This window comes from Homo sapiens, chromosome 18 (assembly GCF_000001405.40).
Source record: "Homo sapiens chromosome 18, GRCh38.p14 Primary Assembly".
In the NCBI taxonomy this organism is placed as follows: domain Eukaryota; kingdom Metazoa; phylum Chordata; class Mammalia; order Primates; family Hominidae; genus Homo; species Homo sapiens.
The window spans coordinates 8,240,155-8,255,606 of NC_000018.10; the positions used below are offsets into that span (position 1 = coordinate 8,240,155).

The following is a 15,452-nucleotide window of genomic DNA, read 5'->3' on the forward strand; positions in this document are numbered from 1 at the left end:
CAAACTATTACTTATCGACAATCCTAACAGAGTCTCTTTCTTGATGTAACCCTTTCAGCCATCTGTAGTTATGGACAAAAGCATTTGACCTGTACAGGCATACATTGATTTACTGTGCTTCACTTTATGGCTCTTTTGGGTATATTGTATTTTTAATCAATTGAAAGGCTACTGGGGAGGCTGAGGTAGGAGAATGGCGTGAACTCAGGAGGCAGAGCTTATAGTGAGCCGAGATCGCACCACTGCACTCCAGCCTGGGTGACAGAGCAAGACTCTGTCTCAAAAATAAAGAGAGAGAGAGAGAGAGAGAGGGAGGGAGGGAGGGGAGGAGAGAGAGAGAGAGAGAGGAAGGAAGGAAGGAAGGAAGGAAGGAAGGAAGGAAGGAAGGAAGGAAGGAAAGAAGGAAAGAAAGAAAGAAATTGAAAGTTTGTGGCAACCTGCATGGAGAGAGAGAGAGAGGGAGGGAGAGAGAGAGAGAGAGAGAGAGAGAGAGAGAGAGAAAGAAAGAAAGAAAGAAAGAAAGAAAAAGAAAGAGAGAAAGAGAGAAAGAAAGAAGGAAAGAAGAGAAAGAAAGAAATTGAAAGTTTGTGGCAACCCGCGAGGGAGGGAGGGAGAGAGAGAGGGAGAGAGAGAGAGAGAGAGAGAGAGAGAGAGAGAGAGAGAGAGAGAGAGAAAGAAAGAAAGAAAGAAAAGAAAGAAAGAAAGAAATTGAAAGTTTGTGGCAACCCTCATGGAGCAGGTCTGTCAGCACCGTTTTTCCTACAGCATGTGCTCACTTTCTGTCCCTGTGTCAACAGCTTTGTGTAAAGCATTGGCTAGGCACTTTTAAACTTTTTCAAAGCATATTGAACTTGGGGGTGATAGATGATGTATATTTGAAAGCAATTTGGTGGCCAGGCGCAGTGGCTCATGCCTGTAATCCCAGTACTTTGGGAGGCCGAGGCGAGCGGATCACCTGAGGTCAGGAGTTTGAGACGAGCCTGGCCAACATGGCGAAACCCCACCTCTACTAAAAATACAAAAATACAAAAAAATTAGCTGGGTGTGGTGGCTCACACCTGTAGTCTCAACTACTTGTTAGGCTGAGGCACGAGAATCACTTGAACCTGGGTGGCGGAGGTTGCAGTGAGTCAAGATTGTGCCACTGCACTCCAGCCTGGGATGACAAAATGAGACTCTGTCTCAACAAAAAATAAAAAATTAAAATTAAAAATTAAAGAAAATGAAAGCAATTTGGTGATAATTATATTATAACTTCCTTCAGTTCCAATACAATGACATTTCCAAAGTGCTGTTATTGATGAAAAACAAAAGTGCCCACAAACATGCTTTATTTGGGCTGTGTAGTGATTTATTTTTAAATTTGAATTATTTGACAACACGTAAAAATTAAGAGTTGATATAAAGTCGGGTCTAGTTTCTCCTGAAACTTGAAATGACTTGAACCTCCATGGGGCATCAGTGTGCAGGAGCTGAGTTACTGTTCCCCTCCAGCTCTCCACAACCCTTTATTGTCTTACACTGTCTTCCTCCACTTATATTACTTGCCTGGTCCCAGGGAGACATTCATGTTTATGACATCTGCTGAAAGTAAAAAGGTGTCTAATGTGTAGGGTTAATGCATGAAGGCTTGCAGAAGACATTGAGAACTGGGTTTAGAAGGTGGTTCACAGACATACAGTATGTCCTATGGATATGAGCTTAATGTTGTGGTGTCTGCCTGGACCTCTGTTTGATTTGAGCATGCTCTCACAGTCTTTACAGGGCTTCTTTTGTGCTTAAAGATCAGCAATTAAGTGATGAGTGTGACATCACTGAAATTAGTTTATGCACGTGGAGGATTAGAAGGGAGAAAGAATTTTTCCAGTACAAGCATAGCTTTTATTGGCACATATATCCCTCCCAGCCAACCACACAAGAAGCACAGTACCTGTCATTTCCTAACCTTTAGGATTAGAGGAATTCAAGCAAGAAAAGGCAAAGAGGAAAGCCTAGTAAAGTTCACAATGCTTCTCTTTATAGGCAGAACAAAAAAGAATATTGAGGCAATTACTGGCATAAATCAGTCCAAAGCAAATCAAAGAAATTCAAGCAAAAAGAAGGCATTTTGCCTGAATTATGGAGCTAATGATCTCAGTCCTCCACTTCAGTGTTCCTGAGGAGACCTGGCCTGAGAATGTTTTTCCAGTGATCTGGCAGATTCAGAAGTGAAGAGAAAATGTATTATTGTAAGTGCAGCTATGGAGATGGAGTCCAGTGCTGCCTCTGTCCAGAACATGTGTTGAGAACACCCAGGCTCAACTAGCATGGCTAGCTGGGAGGAGAGAGGCTCTAGAAGGGATGATCATGATCCCCACGGGGCAAGAGAGGGGTGGTGTCAGTGCCCAGAGGAGTCATGCTGGCTCATCTTTCAAAATCTTTGTAGCTTTAACACTGTCAGAGATGTTATAAGTAATTTTCATTTTTCTGTTTAAAAATATGTCTCTTTTCTAACAGCTTTTAGCAATAAAAAGGCAACTTATTAATGAAACCCTTCTGCCTTCAAAGTATGAAATTAAAATATTATTGTAACTACAGGCAAGAAAGCATTTGGATTATGTGTCATTTAGAAATGGTAATAAAGATTATCCGTATGGTCTTATGTTGTCAGTGCCTTACATTGCATTAGCAATCACCTAATATGAGTGTGATTTTGATTATGTGGTTCATTTTAAATTCTGTGTCCTAGGTCAATCAGTGTCAAGATGATTTACTAGAAGGAGGTGCGGTTTTCTTTCATAGATGCTGTTAAGTGCTTGGGCACAATTAGAATATTTTAGGGCATAGTATATTTGGTATTATCGTGCTGTGGGTGTTCTTAAACCTTCTCACTGTATACCTTCTCCTTAGGCATCTCTAATTCTCATCTTGTCTGTCTTGGGTACACAAAACAATCTCTGGTAGCAAGATCTATAAAAATTTGTGTTACCTGTTTATTTATGTTAGTTTCCCTTTAAGTCTTCTGGCTTTTGTACAGGTGTCAGTCATTTTAGATGTTGAGTTTTTGATGGTCAGCGAGCAGGATGCAGAGGCCAGGATTAACCTATGTCTCCAAAAGAATTAGAAATCTCTCTGCTTTTTTTTCATTCTCTTCCACTGAAAGAGGGAACAAAGAAGCCTTACTCCTGCTGAACGTTGCAGGGAACCCAGCGACATGACATTTTTTAACCTTCTGCTCTGTAGGGGTTGACAAAACTTGATGGGAACTAATCTGGGTTCATTTGGGATTTGGGACAGGGTCATAGCCTTTTGAGAATTCAGTACCTTCCCCTTGATCCTCCTACAGCCTGAGCTCTCTGAGCTTTGTAGGTTCTGTGTCAGGTTCTGCTCCCTGTATGAACATACTCCAATTATACGTTCTTGACTCCTCACCTAGTTCTGTTCTTTAGTTTTAACAATGTGCCTTTTAGATTCATCTGTTATTTCATTTTTGCTTGGAAAATATTTACTCAAGGGAGTCTTCTCTTTGACACTGTATATGGTGATGTTGACAATAATTTCGTAAAAACTTAGTAACTCTAGGAGTGTAACAATTAGATTATGATTGTGTTGTACTAGAATCATTGGTCATTTTAATCTAGCTTATAATAGGAGAAACAGTGTTTTAGGCTGTGGTGTTTTATCTTTCTGGTTGTTTGGGGTTTTTTATTTTGTTTTGTTTTTTGAGGATAGACAGTACCTGTTTTTCATCTCTGTGTCTGCAGCCTGGCAGAGTGCTTGCCACAAATAAGGCACTATACATCCATCTCTGAATGAATAGGATTAATTCAGTAGATGTTATTCCTGAACATCTGTCAATATACATGCCAAAGCTCTGTATCCCGTTCAAATGCATGCCTACATAATTGAATTCTTTATCCTAAGGAAACTGGCCAAGAAGCGGAAAGAGACCATGAGCAGCACCCGACAGGAGATGACTGTGATGGTGAACTCAATGGACAAGAGCTATGCTGAGCAGGGCACAAACTGCGACGAGGCTTTCTCATTCATGGACACGCACAATCTGAATGGGAGATGTAAGTGCATATGTTTCTTGGCTTCTAACACATCTCCTTGGTTTTGCAAGATTCCAGGTGGTACTAGGGGATTTCAAAAAAAAAAAAAGCTTCCTGAAGAAATTTTTATGCCGTGTTGGTTTCTTCAGTCATTTTCAGTGATCCTTTGTGCCACAGGTTGCTTAGCAGAGATGTTCTAAAGGTGATAGGACCAGATCAGAGAGTCCAGAAAACCACAGTGCAGTTTCTGTAAAGATTTAGAGAGCAGTGACACGAGGCTTTCCTTCTTTTGAGGAAGAAGGCACCTGCTTCTCATCATCCTTCTTGTTGTTTAGATCCCATTTGTAAACTATCCAGGTGTGGAATTACACATGGGAAGCCTGTTATAAAAACAGTTCACTAAATGGCAGTAACAAGTTAATTGTTTATTTGTTTAGATGACAGGTTCTGCCTTTATTATAGGGCTGTCAGTGTCAATTAATAAATTAAACTCTATTTCAGCTTCACAAGTCTTATGCTTCATACCAGGTGTGTAAACCAACCTCAGCTACTGCCTTCCCATACTACTACCTGTGATCCAGGTAGAAGGCATTATTTTAGGAAACTAACAATTAGATTGATTATATCAAGCACAAAAGGAGTAGTTGCTTTGTCCCTGGTAATCTCGGAGACCAGAGGGAGATACCTCACTCTGTGGTTTAGGGCACACTTTGGTGAGTTCAAGGTCGGGGGTTTCTTTACTGTGTGAAATCTGTGCCTCAGGCCTGAGCTGCATAACCAGGATTCTGGTCAGCATGGGGATGGAATTAAAGTGCAGCTATTCCTGTTACAAAAAAATAATCGTAGTATTTTAAAGGCCGGTGGGCCTTGTGGCTGTGAGGAGCACAGAAATGGCATCTGGCGTGGGGCGACTGGGAGCAGTTTGGACGGTGTGGGCTCATGTCCTAATACCCACTGTGGTCAGTGTGGTACTGCAGCTCCCCTCCACTCCTCCTCTTCCAGATCACAGTGTGGTCAATGCACGTGCCTGTCCCTGAGCTTTGCGTTTCTCGTACACGCGGCTGAGCTCCGAATTCAGTCTTACATTTTTCTGCTTGTAGCGGCTGCAGTTGTCCCACTTCATCCTCCTCCATCAGTTTGTACTACACACACACATGGCCCAGTGGAGCATGCACAGGTGCTGCTTTGGCACCAATGGGCAGGGCAGCACTGTTGCTTTCATCCTTGATCTTCTTTCTTTACCCTTTCCTGTCATTTTCAGTGCAGGAAATAGAAGCTATGGGGTCTCAGTGTACCCAAGCTCCTTCCCATTTTTTCATAGAGTTCTCTCTGCTTTTTTTGTGGCAGATATAATGTTTTTCATTTAAAAATATGTATGTATAATTTATTTAACTGCCATAAGAAAGCAACCTATGATGCATTCGTTGTGGGCTGGAATTGGAGAAGCCCTTTTGGCCACACACAGGATTAGAATTTTTGTAGTAGCAGGTATTCCTTGAAGGGGACCACACAGATACATCTTCATTTTGCAGTATAACCCATTAACGTTCCAAATCTTCTATTTCATGGTGAAATTCCTCAAGAATCAATTTACTTAGAATCACTCATCCCAAAAGCAAGAATCTTCTTTAGTAGTTCTAGGTGTTTGAAGTTTGAACAACAAGAATATTCACTTCTGGACAGGAAGTTTAATTTGGCAGTTACTTTTTTGAAAGTGAATGTATCTGTGGAAATCCAAAAATGTTCATGTACAAACGGCAGCTGCAGAGGCCAACGGAGCTTCCACAACTGATCGGCTATTAGACGTTATTTTTTGCCTTCCTTCAATAAAGCCAACAGAAGGAACACAGCAGTAGACTTTCCATTTTCCTCCCACTCTGAGCAATGAGTTCTCATCAGATCTCATCTGATAGGAGCGACCCTAGAGGTAGATATCATAATACTGTCTTGATGTCTTTGAAATAAGACAGCAGTTTCTGGGGAGGAAACCTTCAGGAAAGATGTTCCTTAGACCACAAGGCTGCCAGCACCACACCTATGACAAGTGTGGGTATGCATGAGCTCTTTCAGGGTTGGGAGAAAGTGCTGGAAGTTGTGAAGTGAGCAGTTTTTAGAAATGAGACAAGGGGAAAAACGAAATAGGAGAATTTAAAAATAAGCATGACCACAGTTATGAGAATGGGGATTAATCTCTCCAGCAAAGCAAGTATGAGTTGCACTATCTGCTTTAATATGCTATAAAAAGGGGAGAATAGATACAGGTAGTGGGAATGGGTTTAGTTTTTATGCTAGAAGATGAAAATATTTTTAAAATATTTTGACAGGAAGGTGAAGATAAACACAGTTATTTTATATCTGCTGTGCACATCTTTACCAACCACATAAAAATGTCTGCAGCTAATAAAAAGGCTTTATTCTCACTGACCCTGGCATATTTTATTGGTACTCATTTTTTTCATTCTTATTTTCATCCATTGTGCTCTTTTTCCAGGCTTCTTACCATAAACATGCGTTGTAAGTGTGATACATTTCTATTTTGTAAAAATACCTGTAAATGACAGGCAGCCTGAGTTCTGGTCTTTGTTCTGTCACGTACTGATTCTACACTTTAAAAATATAAACACAGGTAAATGCACTCTCCTAAACGGACTGCTCCTGGAGAGTTAAAATATATTAATATGTCATCAGAATAATTACCCAGTATGCACAGGGATTTGGTCATGCTTCCCATAAATATAATGGTATAATTGTGTCTTAGTGTCCTGATGAGGAACTTAGCATCAAACAGATCATGTAACTACATCAGAGGAGTTACAATTTAGACTTAAGTTTAACCACCTTGAGCAACTTTCAAGTCTTTATACTTTAATGAAATTAAACTGTTTTAAAAACACTAATCAATTAATACATTTGAAGAGGTTTTTTTTTACTTAAAAAAATTATTCTATCAAGGCTCTGTCATCCATGAAGAGCGTTTTAAAATGTCTCTTAAAATTAGGAAATACCCATTTTTAATGAAATCAGATAAATTGGATGGGATTGACTATCCTGCTTGATAAAAGAGAGGAAGAGAAGGTGCAATAATTCAGTCTTGAGTGTTTCAGAGGAATATTTTAAAGAAGAGCATTTTTGTAAGGATTTAAAATACTAAGGAACACGCATGGAGCACCACCTTTGTTTTTCATAAAGCATTGTGGAGTATTCTCTGCATATCCAAATATGAGCAAGGAGAGGATTTAGCAAACTATGGGAACATTGACATTGGGAATCGTCTCCAAAAGCCATGTGTAGACACCTTCTTCTACTTTTACTTGTAAAATTCAGCTTGGCCTGAGAGCAGATTTCTATAAGCAAAGGGCAGAAGTCAAAATAGAAGTCTGATGAATTTCTCTATCCAAAATGGTGGCTGTGGTTGTGGGCTTTCTCTTTATTTGTGGGGTAAGAAAAGTCTTTAAGTGACGAAAGGTTGCTTGTCTTCTAAAGGATAAGTAAGTACTCAGAAACAACTGGGAATGATGATATTTCCCACATAGACATCAGTGAGTCCCGGAGTCACCGTGGGTAGCATGGAGTCACCATGGGTGGTCTCAGAGCATTGTGTGTTCAGAGTGTATTACCTCTCTGCTGCCCCTGACCAGCCTCTCTTTTATTTACAGCTGTGTCTTCACCATCGTCCTTCACAATGAAAACAAATACACTGAGCACATCGGTGCCTAATTCCTATTACCCAGGTAACAGTTTTTTCCATTGTCTCCTCTCTGCTCTCTCCTCAGCAGTCAGAATCACTCCGCCCTCTCTCTGCTATCCCTGGTGCTTGAGGGGCTTACTGTGTTTGAGATGTTGTAACCCAATGCGTTTCTACAGCTTTCTATGCAGAAAATAGGGGTGGGCATTCATCAATCATTTACTGTTCTTTCTCTTTTTACTTTCTCTGCATTGACCTGCTTACGGTGTATGACAGACCCATTTGTGCCAACTGCAATTTTAGGTGAGAACATTTCCCTTTACCACAGTTTATTGCAGGAGTAATTTAGAAAGTCAGTGACCACTCTGTAGGAGATTGGAGTTTTAATTCTGTATAATGCAGTGATTATAAGCACGACATGTGGGAGGTGGGTGGCCTGGGTCATGGGGTTAAAGGAAAAAGAGACTTTTCTCTAAACAGTCGCCATTAATAAGAGGGGTTTGCTGCATGTATCTTGGGGATGATACCAACAGGTTCAAATGAACAATCTCAGCCCCAATATTCTCCCTTTCTGTGTTCAGAATTTAAAGTTAGGTCTGATCCCAGGGGAAAAAAACAAGGTGTCATCACTCAGCTGTGTACTTTCCAAGAGCTGAATTCTGTCTAGTGTGATAGTCATAAAAGTGAAAATAGCTTCTCATTATTTTCACTTATTGCTAAGCACTAAAAACTTCAATTTTAAAAGTAGCGTTTTTCTAATTATGCCAAATGTCATGCAGAAAAATGATCACAATGGACTTCTGGCCCTCTACCCATCCTCGGTGCCACTCAGGGCACCCCACCCCCCCACCAACATTCCAAAGTGTCTGTCACACAGTGGAATTTCAAAGGAGCTGATGATCTGAACAGCAAAATGACAAGATGGCACTTATAATCATATGCTTTATTATGTGTCAGATGTCACTAGAAATGAACTAAGGTGTTAGCCCGGTGGGGCAGAATGCATTTAAAGTATGAAATATTCCCAGCAGGGGGTTACAGAAAAAGTCCCGTTTGTCCAATATAAGAAGGGTGAGGAGAAAAATGGCATTACCTGGCTGTGATAACCAAACAAGCATGAGCTGCTGTTGCATTTGAGACGCATAAATAACCTGAGTGTATCACGGCTGTGTTCTCTTTCTACTACTAACCTTTCCGAAAAGGAGCACAACAAAAACGACTTCAAGGTATATAACAATTCATTGTAGCAAGAGTTCCACCCTCAGTTGTTCGACTTCTCCTTCCTAATTCACTTGACAAGGGTTTATATCTTTCCAACATGATTTTTCCCCCCTCTGCTTCTCTTTTCTCTAAGTTGTTACGATTTTTGTATAGAAGGTAATTTTTATTTTCCTAATGGTGTTCTGTGGGCTTAAGCAAGTTTGTTGCCTAAGGAAAAAATGAATTAAGATAGAACTTTAAGAATGGATATAAAACAGAGTTTTTAAATTTTGCATCATTCTGAGGGCTAACAAAGCCCACTAAACCCTCCCTGCCCACACACTTTTAATACCAATTAAAAGGGGAAGAAAATTGCATTTTATTCTTTTCATAAGTGAGGGGCACAGGCTAATCTTAGGCACCAGAACAATGTAATCTACATACAAATGACATTTGCAGAATCTTTTGATAGGCGAAGATTTGCGATTTCTTCATGTGCTGTGGCATTCATTCTGAGGTTCCTCTAGTAGATTTTCTGACCTTGGGGGAGCCGTGAGTGGGGAGGGCTAAAACGTGCCTTGTCAGAAGGAAGAAAATGTTCAGATTTCACAGCAGGGTTAAGACAAGCTTATTAAACAAATATCATTCTTTAAAGTCGCTGCTTTGTTATTATGAACATTAATGACATCTTTTAAAGTTGATTAGTTTTCTTTACTGAAAGGGAATCACTTGGACAGACAATTCAAGTAGCAAAAATGATGCACATTGTAAAAAATAAGTCACCCAGATAGACCAATAACTGTTATCATGTATGGCTTATATAGGTACCAAATGGTAGTACTTGGGAACTGCATTCCTTACACGTTACTTGGTGCAAATGTGAATCTATGTATTGAGTAACAAGGATTGGTGAGGTTAGCACTTGAAACCACGGAAGAATTTAAGATATATATATCTACTCTGGCAGTTTTGGGGGATAGTAGCAGTTATAATTTACACAAAGACAACAAGAAATGTCTTGCTGTGAGTCAGAGCTCAGCACAATTAAATTCTCTGGCACCTTCAGCTCCACCTCTCTCATGCTAAGATGCCCAGCCCTAATGTATAGAGCTGGAGTATATCTTTACTTCATTTGCTTGCAAAAATGTAGATGATTAAATGGATGGTTGGATAGCTGGATGGATGGATGGATGGATGGATCGATAGATAGACAGACAGAACCTACCCTACCTCAAATATATTGCATCCATTTCAACTTAAGGTTTTTCAGCTAGTTTGTTAAAAATTCAAGATAATTCATAAAGAATATAAGTAGAACTAATTTTCAGTTCTTAGAAAACCATCAAAACTATTAGTGAGAAGCTTTGTTTCTTTATTTCTAATGTGCTCTTCTGCATTATTTTTAATTAAAAAAAATGTTGAGGCCAGGCACTATATAGTGCAAGCATGTAATCCCAGCACTTTGGGAGGCCAAGGCAGGAAGATCGCTTGAGGCCAGGAGTTCAAGACCAGCCTCCGCAACATAAGGAGACCCCCATCTCTTCAAATAATAATAATAATAATAAATTAGCCAGGCATGGTGGAACACACCTGTATTCCCAGCTACTCAAGAGGCTGAGGCAGGAGGATTGCTGGAGCCCAGGAGTTTGGGGCTGCAGTGAGCTATGATAGAGCCACTGCCCTCCAGCCTGGATGATGGAGAAAGACCCTGTCTCCAAAAAAAAAAAAAGTAGAAAAAAAAATTGTTGATGGGTAATTTTTAAACACATAAAGGAAATTAATGACAAGTAATATATTTTATCAATAATAATTCTTTTTTAAGTTAGAGAAGATTAATCACTAATTTTAGTGGAATCAAGAATGTCTAGTAGTATAAGTGACCCAATTTCATAGCAGCACACAAGAAGCCTTCTATTCCCTCTTCCATATGCATGTACTAGATAATAGGGCTCTTCTTTCATGGACTTGGTGGTGTTTAAATGCTTGAAGACGTGTTCCACACTAGTAATGAGGGCAAGATGGCATAATGCAGCACAGGATGATTACATACAACAGTGACAGTTGATGTAGCTCTATGGATTTAAAACTTCCAAGAATACCTAGCCCTGGGATCAGAGCATTGCTAGGTTGCTGGTGTATCCACGTGAAGGACCCAGATCACTTCTGGGAAGTTTAGAAGGTCAGCCCACCATGGAGGGCATGTTAATTATGTTCATCCCATAAGATACAAAACTGAGAGAACGAGAGAGGCACAGAGGGGAAACTAATTAATGTTCCATTTATTTTAGTATAAAGAACAGAACTTCCTGCTGGAGTGGCTCAAAGCTCAAGGGATTCGGTACTTCAGCAGGGTTCCTGTATCCCAGTTTATAAAGCTTGGCAGTTGCCAGCAAGCAAATCTGATGTGAAAATTTCCAGGTTTATTTGTGACTGTTAAAATGGGAACATGTGACTTGCTAAATTTCAAAGCAAATCCAAATGAAACAAAAATCATAAAATCAACTTACCACCCTTTTTTATTTTGTCTTTGTGTCTTTAGCCACGTTGTAGTGATCCAGGTGCCATTTCAGCAACAGCAACATAGCTACACACTTGTGTACCACCTTTCATACCATGCATCCCCAGGTGCTTTGCGATGCAGATAGAAGTGAGGTTCCCAAACCAGGCCCTGCTCATCAAGCACCCTTGGACTAAATTTTCTTCAGAGCTGAACTTCTCCGTAAAAAATAAATAACATATGAATAACTATAGCTGAATTCCCTATTGATATACAATCTGGTAATTTTTAAAACTTGAATATATCTTTTATATGTTTTATATAACATTCTCATTTTAAGTGACTTTAGCATTATATTTTGACAGCACCCATCCTCAATCATAAAACTGCTAAAGGGATTCAGCATTATAATGAGTTAACCTGTAGAATGTGGAATTCTTAATCTAATAGCATTTCCCTGCATAAGACATTTTTAATAGGTACCATTTCTGCAGTTCATTAACCTAATTTTCTAGTAGGCCTCCATTAAAATAGAGCCTCTTTAGGCTTCTTTGACCAAATTTTGACATTAATTTTATAGTACAATTTGGTTGACTTGTTCAAGAAATTTAAATGAGAAAATGTGTTGAATACAAATAAGACTTATTTAGACATTACTTGGTTCATGGGGGATGAAAAGCAATTATGATGCTAATTTTAACCTCCTTTTTGTTATGGAGTACTTAAATTCAATGCCTCCATCCTAACGTGATGGAAGAATTGAGGCTTCGCCCTCTGACCACCTCTGAATAGAAAACTTAACTGGAAAGTTAAAGCATAAAATAAAAACTACCTGTAATTATGCACGCAGTACTATTGCTTATGCCCTGTTTCCTTTTTCTCCTCCTTTTTTCTCCTGATATGTATCTTCTTAAAAGTGCCAATAAATGGTAAGTTCCCCGATTCGCCCCATGGAAGAGTTGTGGAGGGAGTGGGAGTGTGTGTCTTACTGGTAGATTCTGACAAAGCCAGCTGGTGCTGCTCTGTGCTGGCCTGCATGTTTGCCTTTGTAGAACATTCCATGTGTGATGTGTTGGTCCACAACATTTTGTCAAGCTTTCTGATACCAGAGCATGCAAAGTGATTCATCAAAATGTTATCCCCAAACCAGGTTCCCTTTTATTTTTCCATTCTTCTTTGATTTCATGTATTAAGTCCCCATTTCCATTGCTAGCTTTATAAGCCACACCATTTTGTGCACTTTTATTTTGCTCACAGAACATTTGTGCAGAGTTTATTTATGTCATCATACGAACTACTGAACTAATGTTTCAAAGAATACAAGACTGGTTTTGCACCAGGTCTTGATGAAGTTTCAGGTTGAAACTTTCACAAACTTTAGCACTGGAAGGCTAAAGGGCTCTTCTCAATTAGCTTTGTGAAAGCAATATATCGTTTGGACTGCTTTGTAAAAGAAAGATTTCTGCGCATTCTTATCAGTATTGCCAACCCCATTTAAATTTCTAAACATTTAACTTTTCTTTTTTGCTGAGCCATCGTAGGGAATTTTGCACCCCTAGGTGAGGGGATGCCAGGAGCCAGCTTCTTAGCATTCTCAGTGATGCCGACCTAGCTCCCTGGCTCTCCCTCATTTTCTCCCTGGCCTTCTTTTCCTAGATGAAACCCACACAATGGCCAGCGATACCAGCAGCCTGGTGCAGTCCCATACTTACAAGAAGCGAGAGCCGGCCGACGTGCCCTATCAGACTGGGCAGCTCCACCCCGCCATCCGGGTGGCAGACCTCCTTCAGCACATCACACAGATGAAGTGTGCGGAGGGCTACGGCTTCAAGGAGGAATACGAGGTGAGCACAAGCTCTGTGCCAGGGCTTTCCCATTCCTTCTTGGATTCCATGCCAGGTACTGTGCTCCCAACTCAATCAGAAAGCCAGAGAAAACCCCCTGCCCCGAGAGATGCCAGAAAGAGATGAAGTACAGTTGTCCCTCAGTATTCTGGGGGATTGGTTCCAGGACCCCAGTATATGTCCAAGTCCCGGTGTGAGCCCTGTGAAACCTGAGAATCCAAAAATCCAGTCCTCCAGATCCATGGGTTTTGCATCTCAAAGATATTATATATATTCTTTTCAATCCTCATTTGATTGAATCTGCGGGTGCAGAATGCTAGGATATCAAGGCCGACTGTATTTTATCCGTGGATCCACTTTCATCTGATAGTAAAACTTGTTACCAAGAAGTTCACATGCGTTACATGGAAAAAGGAAGAATGCTTTGCCTTTTACCTTATTCTGCACAAATACACAATGAAAACAAATTTACCAGGGTCTCTTCCCCTCCCCATCCTGTTTTTTTTCCCTTTTTTTCTTCTTCCCTCTGGCAGAATTAAGTTTTAGTTCATGTCTCCCTCCCCATTCTTGATCACCTTTCTTGGCTTTTCCTGTAATTATGATATGAAATCCTAATGATTTTGTAGTCATTATCTCAGGAAGAAACTGTCCACTTAAAGCAATTATAGACCAACCAGCAATGTCATGTGGTGGAGATCAGACAGCAGTACAGGGACTGGCTATTGTCATGGCAGTGACAGCTGTTACTGTCCAGCCAGCCCAGAGAGCATGCCACTGTCTTGGGCTCTTGTGTGGGCAGCTGTCAGGGACATTTCTGGGAATAATGATATTCTCCGAATACATAAAATACAGGGCTTACCCCTTTCACACCCTGTGCCATTAGTTAATTCTGTCAGAAGGTCATTCAAGAATTGAAGAGAATTAATTGATTGAAGAAATCTAATTCAAAGAAGCATGCCATCCCTTGAGTGGGTGGTGTGGGGCCCAGGGAGCAGGACAGGAAAGTTGGATTGCTTTTTTATGTTATTAAAATCAGTCCGCAGTCATTGATGAAGTTAAAGTAGCATGCTTACTCAGAGTAAAAATAGGATTATGTAGACATGTGGTTTTTTTAAACCTTAGAATGTGGTTCTGGTCTCATATTCACCTAACTAGCTCAGAGTTGGGAAACATCTTGTCTGGAATTAGAGTGTTTTTGAAATCTGTTTCTACCACCTGGATAGTCTGTGAGTTTCCAACTCTGTTTCTTCTCTTCCTGTGGGCACACTCACAACACTTCATTTTATGCCCCAGACACTGCATTGTCTTGGGTTTAGCTCTTTTTCCAAGCTTGATCATCAGAGATTCATTACAGCAGTCAAAGCAACACATGGTACCACTGTTGGCGGAGCCTGTGCTACACTTCTTTTAGGAATAAGGCTTTGGTCCAAAGCAGACATAGACACACTTTGCTCTGCTAACATGTGCATCCTGGTGTATTGCCAATGACCTCAGTTCAGAAGACTGTGAAGCCAAACAATCCCATCCAGACCGTGCTCCAGGGTTTAATTGAAGTCCAGAAAATATTTTCAGTTGAAGTTCTGCCTTTTAGCAACCCTGAAATTCTTAGATTTATCTTTAGCAATTCAATGTGTAAATTCAGTGAAATTGACTGCCTTTGCATATTTCCTCATGCACTTTTAAAGTCTAGCTTAGGAATTAATAGGATTAAGAGTAAGACTTCCAAAAGCTTAATATCGTATGAAAGACAAAATTAGGTTATTGAAAAAATATAAGCCTAATGAATAGGGATGATGTCTAGGTTCTATCCAATATTCTGAATGCAGATATTACTGAAATGTTTATTAAAGATGTTAAAGAGATTAGTTTTAGGCTCAAATAACAATTCATGAAATAACCTGAGCCCAATTTTCCATGGACTATTTAAAAATACCTACTTCCTATAACATGCTACAGACAATGCATATTTGAAAGATGTAGAAAATATTTCCCATTCAGATCTTTTGAATAAATATGATTTATAAGTATAAACTGAAATATTATATACTAATTTGAACCATATTATGACTGACAACTAATTCAGTTCTCAAAATAAAGTGTTGTATTCATTAAGTACATTGCAGAAAACTTTTTCTCATTTTAGCTATTCCGTGGTCAGAGAGGACTGCCAAAAAGTGAATACTTTTAAACCC

At 39.9% G+C, this 15,452-nt stretch overlaps 1 protein-coding gene across 30 annotated transcripts in view; it reads left to right on the top strand.

Annotated features, from left to right (window-relative positions):
* PTPRM (protein tyrosine phosphatase receptor type M) overlaps positions 1 to 15,452 on the top strand; it is an 839,541-nt gene that overhangs the window by 672,839 nt on the left and 151,250 nt on the right. For 11 of the 30 annotated variants that reach the window (XM_011525708.3, XM_011525712.3, NM_001105244.2 and 8 more), the window contains 5 exons: positions 3,904 to 4,055; positions 7,691 to 7,765; positions 7,996 to 8,022; positions 12,334 to 12,345; positions 13,073 to 13,260. In XM_011525708.3, coding sequence (XP_011524010.1) covers positions 3,904 to 4,055; positions 7,691 to 7,765; positions 7,996 to 8,022; positions 12,334 to 12,345; positions 13,073 to 13,260 — 454 coding nt within the window. The remainder of the gene's footprint in view (positions 1 to 3,903; positions 4,056 to 7,690; positions 7,766 to 7,995; positions 8,023 to 12,333; positions 12,346 to 13,072; positions 13,261 to 15,452) is intronic. The other 19 variants (XM_047437715.1, XM_047437716.1, NM_002845.4 and 16 more) reach the window with 3 other exon arrangements.